This window comes from Homo sapiens, chromosome 5, assembly GCF_000001405.40.
Source record: "Homo sapiens chromosome 5, GRCh38.p14 Primary Assembly".
NCBI lineage: Eukaryota > Metazoa > Chordata > Mammalia > Primates > Hominidae > Homo > Homo sapiens.
In genome coordinates this window covers 39,717,843-39,730,295 of record NC_000005.10, presented here as the reverse complement: position 1 = coordinate 39,730,295, position 12,453 = coordinate 39,717,843, and the positions used below count along the sequence as shown (strand labels likewise).

The 12,453-nt window shown below is 35.6% G+C and overlaps 1 pseudogene; it reads left to right on the top strand.

The window, feature by feature from the left end:
• On the top strand, positions 8,786-11,510 carry INTS6P1 (integrator complex subunit 6 pseudogene 1; annotated as a pseudogene).
• The last annotated feature ends 943 nt before the right edge of the window (positions 11,511-12,453 follow it).

Genomic DNA, 12,453 nt, shown 5'->3' with positions numbered 1-12,453 from the left:
TCCACCAATCATTTGGACCCAAGCAAAAGATCAGGCAAATACTTGGAGTGAATGAGTCACTCAGGCCAGGGGGCAGGGGCGGGCAGAGGCACATGGAATCCCAGGGTGGCAGGGGTGGAACTACAGGTTAGAGTGTCATATGAGTGAGTGATACTGTCAGTACCATCATTGTGAGAAGCCACATGGTGTGGCTGGGAATTGTTATTGGTTTAATAGCCTCAGGATCTATATCTTTCACCCTCCTGGGAATTTCAAAATGTGTCTATAATGTTGAACAATTCCCATGCCTTCTGATACCTGTCAGAGTGCAGTCTGTTATTTATGCCTGAGAACCTCTGAGAAATAAAGTAATCCATTGCAAAATGCCAAGTACTGTGAAAAAAGAAATAAGTTGGCAAGAGAAAGAAGTAGTCCACAATCTGTTTTGCTCACAACTCCTCCAAGGAATTTTATTGTTTTAAATTTTAGATTCAGGTGGTATACTTGCAAGTTTATGGAAAAGAGAAACCTGGATGCATATGTTGCATAATGCTGTGATTTGGACTTCTATTGAACCAGTCACCCAAATAGTGAACATAATACCCAATAAGTAGTTTTTCAGCCCGTTCCCCTTTCCCTCCTCCCCACTTTTGGAGTCTCCAGTGTCTATTGTTTCACTCTTTATGTTCATGTGTCCCCAATATTTGCTCCCACTTATAAGTGAGAGCATGCAGCATTTTATTTCCCATTTCTGCATTAATTCACTTACAATAATTATCTCCAGCTATAACCATGTTGCTGCAAATGACATGATTTTGTTCTTTTTTTATGGATCCATAGTATTCCATGCTGTTTATATACCAGATTTTCTTTATTCCATTCACTGTTGATAAACACGTAGGTTGAGTCCATGTCTTGGCTATTGTAAATAGTGCTGTGATAAATATATGAGTTCAGGTGTCTTTTTGATAGAATGATTTAATTTCTTTAAGGCATATACCCAAGAACTAGAACAAGACAAGGATGTCCATTCTCATTACCCCTATTCAATATAGTACTGGAAGTCCTGGCCACAGTAATTAGGCAAGAGAAAGAAATAAAATGTTATCTATATAGGAAAAGAGGAAGTCAAGTTATCTCTGTTCATTGATGATATGATTTATATCTAGAAAATCCTAAATATTACTCCAAAAGACTCCTAGACATAATAAATGACTTCAGTAAAGTTTCAGGACACAAAATCAGTGTAAAAAAATCAATAGCATTTCTATACATCAATAATATTTAAGGTGAGAACAGAATCAAGAATGTAATCCCATTTACAGTAGCCACGCACACAAAAAAATACCTAGGAATACATTTAACCAAGGAGGTGAAAATCTGTACAACGAAAACTATCAACTACTGTTGAAATAAATTATAGATGACATAAACAAATAGAAAAACATCCCATACTCCTGGATTGGAAGAATCAACATCATTAAAATATCCATACTGCTCAAAGCATTCTACAAAATCAATGCAATTTCTATCAAATTACCAATGTCATCTTTTCACAGAATTAGAAAAAAACTATTCTAAAATTCATATGGAACAACAACAGCTAAAAAGAGCCCAAATAGCCAAAGTAATCACAAGCAACATGAATAAAGCCAAAGGGTATCACATTGCCCAGCTTTACACTACAAGGCTACAGTAACCAAAACAACATGGGTTTGGTACAGAGACATATAGATGAATTGAACAGAATAGAAAACCCAGAAATAAATATGCACAGCTACAACCAAGTGATCTTCAACAAAGCTGACAAAAATAAACAATGAAGAAAAGACACCCTATTCAATAAACGGTTCTGGGAGAACTGGTTAACCACTTACAGAAGATTGAAACTGATCTTTAATAGATCACTTTTATTTTATTTTTTATTTTTTATTTTTTTTGAGATGGAGTTTCACTCTTGTGGCCCAGGCTGGAGTGCAATGGTGCGATCTCGGCTCACCGCAACCTCCGCCTCCCGGGTTCAAGCGATTCTCCTGCCTCAGCCTCCCGAGTAGCTGGGATCACAGGCATGTGCCACCACGCCAGGCTAATTTTGTATTTTTAGTAGAGACGGGGTTTCTCCATGTTGGTCAGGCTGGTCTCGAACTCTCGACCTCAGGTGATCCATCCGCCTCAGCCTTCCAAAATGCTGGGATTACAGGCGTGAGCCACCACACCCAGCTTAGATCATTTTTATACTTCTTGTAACGAAAGTGTTTATATGAATTAAATATTAATTTTTATTTCCTGTGACAACACAAAGTGTCTAAACATTTATTTGTATTGTCATAATTTTATATATTATTAGTATACAATTAATCAAAACAATATAAAATATGCATTTTTATAATGTTTGTTAAATACCAAATACATATAATGTGCCTCGAGTGAGATGAATAGGATTTCACTACTCTCCAGTAGTTTGCATGTCATGAATAAATAAAATATATTCTTAGAAACTCAGTAAATGATGTCTTTTTTTATTTTAATATCTATAAGCTTTGAGAAATCATGTTGACAAAAATAATTATATGGTAATTGAAAGAGTTGTATTATAGCAAATTCATTTATTTATTCGAATGTCTTTGAATTGCATGCCAAAAATGACACTGAAGGAAAACCTAATTGAATTCTCAGATGATATATTATTAAAAATATTTGTTGATGATGGATGACTATGGTATTCATGCTTTCAGTTTCTATAATGGACATTTTAAGAATTATCAAATGACTATTAATTCTATGGATTGCTTATTTCCATATTTAACCTAATAAGCTCAGAACACTTCTGAAAATCAAAATGTTTGCATGTATTACATATTTACCAGTGTAGTATTTCTCATAAAATAATATGTATGTAAAATATATTTTAATTAAAATCTTGGTGCTTCAGCGTTAGCATATTCTACTTACAAAAAATATTTTTCCTATTATTTAAATTGGTGTATCAAATCCTCATTGTGTTCCAAACATACAGATTAGTCTTACTGAATTTTAGATAATGAATTTATTTTTAATTTCTGATAAGTGTTACTAAGATGTCTATCTCAAGAAGTCCCATAAAAACACTAAGAAAGGAATTGTAGTATGTCATAAAAGATATATTACCAAAAAGCAGTCAAGATTAGAGATGTAGAAATAATTTAATAAATTTATCAAATTTTATAAATTATAAAAACAAGATATTATTCTGTTTTACATGCTCAATTTATAATGCAGTCTCAGTAAGTATAATTATTATTTATAATAGAGAATGATAAAAAATATGTTACATCTTTAATAAACATGAGTACAATATAAAATTTTAATGTTTGGTTTATGGGCATAAACAAGTAAAAATTTATATTTTTAGTGACAAAAATTTTTACTGATAAAAATCAGTAATAACTCCAATAATTGCATAAAACATCATGATAAAACTTTTCCTATGTACTAATATGTAATATTAGAAGTGTATGTTAGTATGTAATAATAGAACATAACAGAAAAATACATCGTCTCATGTAACTTCTTTTTTGTTAAATAGAAGGTAGACAATATTAAATATTTTATGACATAAGATGAACATTCATTATAATTAAAACAATACATCAAGATATGATTTGACTAGGTCAGCTTTATTTACCTTATTGGTTAATATGCACTAATGCTAAAAGAAATTACATGTAAGTTTTATCCTTGGATTTTATCCAATGTATATTGAAAATTTTGATAGTCTTCAAGAATATCTAGTGAGAGACTAACTATATGAATTAACATAATAACTAATGCTGCTTTAATACTCTAAAGATAATTTCTAAGATAAAATATTTTAAAGATGAATACAATATTAAGAATTTCTGAAGATAATTGCTTGACTTTAAATATGTTTTTTAAAATTTTGTGTGCATTCAATGTCTCTCTTTTATGCTATCTTACTTTTGCTCTTGGTATCCTCTTTTAAGAATGATGCACTCTTTGATTTTTTAAATGATTACTTATACCTGTCCACTCCACCATTTGATTAAATTCAAAACTTTTCCTAACAGAGCCAAAATGCCCTTCTGTCGATGCTATATTTCACCATTAAGAAAACTATTTATAAGAGAAGAGGCCTTCAAGATGCATGTGTCTTGTTTAAACATTACAAAAAGCTTTCTTTTGTTTTTTTTCTTGGCAACCAAGTGATTTTTCATATAACCTGGTATGGTGAAATATATGGAAGTTAATTGAATTGATAGATTTCCTTAAATCTATCATTGCTGGAATATCCCTGGGAATATCTTCTACAGTTTGAATATGATTGTGTTAGAGTAACTGGGTGAGGTAGTGAGCGATTTATCTACATAGAATAGTTGGAGAAAGGCTCACAGGCCAAGGCATGTGAAATGAAGCATGACATACGAAAGGGGAGCTGAGATGCCAAAAGCTGGGTTGAAGAACATTTTAAGCAGATGAAAAGTACATATGAAGGTCCTAAAGTATGAATGAACTTGGCTGGCTTAAAGATAAAAGACCAGTGTGGGTGGACAGAAGCAACTGAGAAAGAGAATTGAGGTTGAGAAGGAATACAAAAGTAGCTATGCAAAAAAAAAAAAAAAAAAAAAAAAGTTTGCATTTAGGTCAAAATAAAAGAATTCATAGAAAAGTTTAAAGCATAAGAATTTTAGAGTCTGAGTTACATTTTTAAAATGGATTAAAGACTTTAAGATATAACTCTGGCTCCAACATGAAGAATCCATTACAGGAGGCAATAGAGGAAGCATTGTGAAAGTGTTAAGTGAGAAATAATGATGTATTATTAGGCAAGGGAGATGGGCAGAGGCAGAATTGAAATTCACTTTTGAGATATAGTCAACATGATTTGCAGATGAACTGAATTTTCTTTTTTTTTCCTTTTTTTTCTTTTTTCTTTTTTTTGTTTTGTTTCGTTTTTTGAGACGGAGTTTCGCTCTTGTTGCCCAGGCTGGGGTGCAATGGCACGATCTCAGCTCACCGCAACCTCCGCCTCCCGGGTTCAAGCGATTCTCCTGCCTCAGCCTTCCGAGTAGCTGGGATTACAGGCATGTGCCACCATGCCCAGCTAATTTTGTATTTTTAGTAGAGATGGGGTTTTTCCATGTTGGTCAGGCTGGTCGTGAACTCCCGACCTCATGTGATCTGCCCACCTCGGCCTTTCAAAGTGGTGGCTGGGTGAGCCAACACGCCCAGCCAGAACTGAATTATCAAAGTATTAAAGGGAGAGAAATAGTGATGAGTACCCTGGAATTTGGATTAACGTCACTGTCATTTATTGAGATGAAAATTCCTGGAGAATGAAAATTCATAAGGAGGAATTTCATTTTGAGCATGCTAATTTGCTATGAAATTAATATAGATTAAATATCTTATTAAAAATAGATCTCGGGCCGGGCACAGTGGCTCACGCCTGTAATCCCAGCACTTTGGGCGGCTGAGGCGGGTGGATCACGAGGTCAGGAGATCGACACAAGCCTGGCTAACACAGTGAAACCCCGTCTCTACTAAAAATACAAAAAAATTCGCCAGGCATGGGGGCGGGCGCCTGTAGTCCCAGCTACTTGGGAGGCTGAGGCAGGAGAACGGCATGAGCCTTGGAGGCCGAGCTTGCGGTGGGCCAAGACCGCGCCACTGCACTCCAGCCTGGGCAAAAGTGCGAGATTCCGTCTCAAAAAAAAAACAAAAAAAAAACACCTCATATTGAATTAATAATAAAGCTCAAAAGTTTAAGAAATATACCTAAATCAAAATAGTAATAAAATGTTAAAGTAAATAGGTGGATTAAAATACATCTGAGAAACTCAAATAGGAACAGTGCAGTTCTACTAAACATTAACACAGAATCCAAGGTAAGAGTCATTAAATTAGTGGCTATATTGCATTGACATGTTCCACTATGAGCTTTTTTGCACCTATAATTATAACATACACCTCTTAAAAACTATTAATCAAGGACACAAAAAGTACATATAAAATAATTTGTAATACTATTAACTGTAAATTTAACTTTATTATCCACATTTTTAAGTATCCATTGGCATACGGAGAAAAATATACACACTGAATCACAAAGAATATCTCAAAAAATTGTAAAATGTCAAATTTACAATTATCTATTTTCCGACAAATACATACAAAATATATTTCAGTTAAAAATAAATAACAAAAGCACAACCACTAAGTCTCATTCACCACTATACATACATTACAATTTAGAAATTAAAAGTATTCCATAGTAAATTTTGGATTAAAAAGAGAATAACAAATCAAATTATAGACTATGATGGAATAATTAAGTATTGCATAGTAACAGAGGTGTTTCTATTAAAATCAATGGGGAATAAGGATTCTTGTAAATAGTATTAGTAATATAATTTTAGAAGTTCTAGCTGTAAGGCATGAAAAAAAGTCAACATAGCTAGTGTAAAGAATAAAATAATTTAGTGTGGAACAAATAAGTTCCTTTTAGACATTTTTGGAAAGGTTTTCTATTTTAAAAAATAAATAAATTTTAAATATATATATGTATGTCTACATGCACACACAATAAAATTAGATCTCCCTTTACAACTACATTGAAATAAACTATAAATGGATTAAATATTAAAATTTTAAGCCAAATTAAATCCCCCAATACTAAAAATTATACAAAAAGTTATACACTTGACTACATATAAAGTCAAAATTGTTTTAGTGTTAAAAATTAGAAGCTACTTTAAAAGACAAACTAGTAAAATATTCAAAACTCATATAATAATGTTTAGCATACTTATTCTTTGTTAAAAAATAATTATTTTAAATATCTATTAGCCAAAAGGACAGAACATGTGGATTCAGTTAAATAGATTACAGCAAAAAAACAGAAGAAATAAAACTGGTTGTTAAACAAGAAAACATATTTGATCTCACAAGTAATCAAATAAATTCATAATAAAATAATGACATACCAGATTTTGGCCTATCAAATTTTCAAAGAACAAAATGGTGAAGAAACTGTGAACCTGAATTCTGATGAAATGCTGCCAAGAGTGTAAATAGATAAATACTTTCAGGGAGGTAATTTTCTATTATGTATCAAGATTTTTAAGATAAGTAACGTGAATTTGATAAAGTATTTTTACTTCTAGTAATCCCTCATTAAGAAATTATTACTGATATGGACAATAGAAATCTATGCAATGATGTTCATATGGGGAAACGTGTGGTATAGGTGAAAACAAAGGATACTTACAGGAATATCTCACTTTATGGTACTTCACTTTATTGCACTTCATAGATACTGCATTTTTTGCAAACTGGTTTGTGGCAAGTCTGTGCTGAGCAATTTTATCAGTTTATCAGTGTCATTTCCCAATGCGACACAGAGACGGCATTTGTACACTCTGTATCTCTGTGTCACATTTTGGTAATTCTTGCAATGTTTCAAGCTTAATTATTATTGTTGTATTTCTTATAGCGATCTGTAACCAGTGATCTTAAAGTTACTATTGTAATTGTTTGAGGGCACTACAAACCACTCCCATATAAGAAAGCAAACTTAATTAATACATGTATGTGTTCTTACTGCTCCACAGACCAGTCATTCCCCTATCTCTATGCTTCTCTAAGATTCTCCCTATTCCCTGAGATACAACAGTATTGAAATTAGGCCAATTAATAATCCTACAATGGCCTCTAAGTGTTCGAGTGAAAGGAAGAGTCACGTATCTCTCACTTTAAGTAAAAAGCTATAAATGATTAAGCGTAGTGAGGAAGGCATGTCAAAAGCCAAGACAGGTTGTAAGCCAGGCCTCTTGCTCCAAACAGTTAGCCAAGCTGTGAATACAAATCAAAAGTTATTGGCAGAAATTTAAAGTGCTACTTGAATGAACACACAAATGATAAGAAAGTGAAACAGCCTTATTACTGACATGCAGAAAGTTTCAATGTTCTTGACAGAAGATCAAGCCAATTATATAACATTCTCTTGAAACAAAGCCTAACCCAGTTCAAACTCTCAATTCAATGAAAGCCCAGAGATGTGAGGAAGCTGTAGAAGAAAGTTGGAAGCTAGCAGAAGTTGGTTGATGAAATTTAAGGAAAGAAGCCATCTCCATAACATCAAAGCACAAGATAAAGCAGCAATGCTGATGGAGAAGCCGCAGCAACTTATTCAGATCTAGCTAAGATAAATGATGAAGATGAATGCACTAAACAGATTTTCAATGTAGATGAAATAGCTTCATATTGGAAGAAGATTTCATCTAGGTCTGTCGTAGGGAGGAGAAGTCAATGCCTGTCTTCAAAGCTTCTAAAAACAGTTTGACTCTTGTTAGGGGCTAATGCTCCTGATGAGTTTAAGTTGAAGCCAATGGTCATTTACCATTCAAAAAAATCCTAGGACCCTTAAGAATTATGCTAAATCTACTCTGCCTGTGCTCTATTAAGTGGATCAATAAAGCCTAAAAGATAGCACATCTATCCATAGCGCAGTTCACTGAATATTTTAAGCCCACTATTGAGACTTGCTGATAAGAAAGAAAGATGCCCCTCCCTCCCCTCCCCCAACGCGAGGGCGGGCGGGCGCTGCGAGGAGGGCTAGGCCTGGGCCGGGCTCCCGCCCCAGTGCTGTGCGTGGGGAGCGATCTGTGTGTGGGGGACCGCGTGGAGGGGTGGCCGCTGCGTGTGCGGTACTGTGGAGGCGGCGGGGCCGCTGGGCGCCCCTTTTCCGCCTGGTAACCTCGCCTCTGTGCTTCCCTCTCGCTCGCCCTGTTCCTCCTCTAGTCCCTCGGCTCCGTGCCCGGGACCCTGCCAGCAGAGGAGACAGGTATATGCTCGTCACTTTCGAAGAGCCGCCCTGTGCTATCAAGGCTGGATGGAAAGAAAACCATGCAACGTTTATGAATGAACTGAAAAACCTTCAGGCTGAAGGACTTAGGACTCTTGGCCAATCCCTAAGGACAGCTTTTGATTTATTAAATTTAAATAGATTAGCAACTGGCATAGACAACTATGGGCAGGGAAGAAACCCTTTTTTCTTGGAGCCAGCAATAATTATCACAATTACTGATGGGAGCAAGTTGACTACCACCAGTGGAGTCCAGGATGAGCTTCATTTACCTCTTAATTCTCCTTTGCCTGGAAGTGAATTGACCAAGGAACCTTTTCCTTGGGATCAGAGATTCTTTGCATTAGTGTTGCAGTTGCCTGGCACCATGTCAGTAGAATCAGAACAGTTGACAGGTGTGCCTTTAGATGACCCTGCAATCACACCAGACGGCTGGTCGTATTTTGTGTGTTCTCCAAGAATGCTTAATCAGTGTCTGGAGTCCTTGGTGCAGAAAGTACAAAGTTGGGTGGTAATAAACTTTCAAAAAGCAGGACCGGATCCTTCCCCTGTAGAAGATGGGCAGCCAGATATATCAAGGCCTTTTGGATCTCAGCCTTGGCATAACTGTCACAAACTCATATGTGTCAGACCAAATCCTAAAACTGGGGTTCCTATAGGTCATTGGCCTGTTCCAGAGTCTTTTTGGCCAGATCAAAATTCGCCAACACCACCACTTCGTACATCTCATCCTGTAGTGAAGTTTTCCTGTACAGACTGAACCAATGGTTATTGATAAACTTCCTTTTGACAAATACGAGTTGGAACCTTCATCACTGACTCAATTTATCCTGGAAAGGAAATCTCCTCAAACATGTTGGCAGGTGTACGTCAGCAATAGTGCAAAATACAGTGAACTTGGTCATCCTTTTGGTTACTTGAAAGCCAGTATGGCACTGAACTGTGTCAATGTATTTGTGATGCCTTACAATTACCCAGTCCTTCCCCTCTTAGATGACTTGCTTAAAGTGCATAAAGCAAAACCAACACTGAAGTGGAGACAGTCATTTGAAAGTTATTTGAAGACCGTGCCTCCCTACTATCTCGGGCCCTTCAAGAAAGCTGTTAGTATGATGGGAGCACCTAACCTAATAGCAGACAGTATGGAATATGGACTTAGTTACAGTGTCATTTCATACCTCAAAAAACTGAGTCAACAGGCCAAAATAGAATCTGATCGAGTCATTGGATCTGTAGGCAAAAAAGGAGTACAGGAAACTGAAATAAAAGTCTGGAGCCAATCACATGGTTTATCAAGGGCATATAGGAAAGATTTTCAACAGCTCCTCCAGGGAATTTCAGATGTCCCTCACAGACTGCTAGACCTTAATATGAAGGAATACGCTGGGTTCCACGTTGCTTTGCTGAATAAGGATTTGAAGCCACAGACATTTAGAAATGCTTATGACATTCCAAGACGAAATCTTTTGGATCACTTAACAAGAATGAGATCTAATCTTTTGAAGCACACTCGCAGATTTCTTAAAGGACAGGACGAAGATCAAGTGCAGTGTTCCTATAGCACAAATGGGGAACTACCAGGAATACCTCAAGCAAGTTACCTTCTCCACTAAGAGAACTTGATCCTGATCAGCCGCAAAGGTTACATACATTTGGCAATTCCTTTAAGCTGGATAAAAAGGGTATGATGACAGATGAAGCAGATGAATTTGTGGCTGGACCTCAAAATAAACATAAATGACCTGGAGAATCAAATATGCAAGGGATCCCTAAAAGACGTCAGTGTATGTCTCCACTACTAAGAGGCAGACAGCAGAATCCTGTTGTAAACAATCATATCGGGGGAAAAGGACCACCTGCACCTACAACTCAAGCACAGCCAGATCTTATTAAGCTTCTTCCTCTTCATAAAATTTCAGAAACCACTAATGATTCGATAATACATGATGTGGTTGAAAATCATGTTGCAGACCAACTTTCGTCAGACATTACACCAAATGCTATGGATACTGAATTTTCAACATCTTCTCCAGCCAGTTTACTGGAAGGGCCAACCAATCATATGGAGGCTCCTGGTCATGACAATTTAGGAACGAATGACCTCACTGTTGGTGGATTTTTAGAAAATCATGAGGAGCCAAGAGATAAAGAACAATGTGCTGAAGAGAACATACCAGCATCTTCACTCAACAAAGGAAAGAAATTGATCCATTGCAGAAGCCATGAAGAGGTCAATATCGAACTAAAACCACAAATAATGAAAGAGATCTGAAAGCCAGGGAGAAAATATGAAAGAATCTTCACTTTACTGAAGCATGTGCAAGGCAGTTTACAAACAAGACTAATATTTTTACAAAATGTTATTAAAGAAGCATCAAGGTTTTAAAAACGAATGCTAATAGAACAACTGGAGAACTTCTTGGATGAAATTCATCGAAGAGCCAATCAGATCAACCATATTAATAGCAATTAAAAGAAAATAGAATGTGGCCACTTCACTATCTTCTTCAAATACAAAGTAAATACAAGACTGTTGTGATCTTGCATTCATTTTCTGACATGCATTGTCGGCTATTTGAAATACTAAAAGCAAATCTACAGATCATTTTCCGTCATTTTACAGTGACCTTTTCTTCATTTTGGTTTATTTTTGTAATGTGAAAAGTATCACTCTAAAAAACATTTTTATTTAACAAACTGAAAATATTCCTCCAAAGAAAAAAGAAAGAAAAATTCTTTTTGAAATATTATTGCTCATTGACAATGCACCTATTCACCCAAGAGCTCTGATAGACATGTACAAGGAGATTAGTGTTGTTTTCATGTCTGCTAACACAACATCCATTCTTCAGCCCACAGATCAAGGAGTAATTTCATCTTTCAAATTTCATTATTTAAGAAATACATTTGTAAGGCTATAGCTTCCATATATAGTGATTCTTCTGATAGATCTGGGCAAAGTAAATTCAAAACCTCTGGAAAGGATTCACCAGTCTAGATGCCATTAACATTTGTGATTCATGTGAAGAGGTGAAAATATCACTAACAGGAGTTTGGAAGAAGTTGATTCCAACCCTCATGGGTGACTCCGAGGAATTCAAGACTTCAGAGGAAGAAGTAACTGCAGAGGTAGGAGAAACAGCAAGAGATCTAGAATTCTAAGTGAAGCCTGAAGATGTGACAATTGCTACAAGCTCATGATCAAATTTGGAAAGATGAGAAGCTTCTTTTTATGGATAAGCCAAGAAAATGGTTTCTTGAGATGGAATCTATACCTGGTGAAGACGAGTTGAACATTGTTAAAATTACAAGAAAGGATTTAGAATGTGACATAAATTTATGTGTATATATATGTATAAATACACACATATATATGTATAATATAAACTTAATTGATCAAGCAGCAACAGGGTTAGAGAGGATTGACTCTAATTTTGGAAGAAGTTCTACTCTTGGAAAAATGCTACCAAACAGCATCGCATGCTACAGAGAAATCTTTTGTGAAAGGAAGAGTCAATCACTGTGGCAAACTTTATTGTTCTCTTATTTTAAGAAATTGCCACAGCCACCCCACCCTTTAGCAACCATCACTCTGATCAGTCAGCATCCAT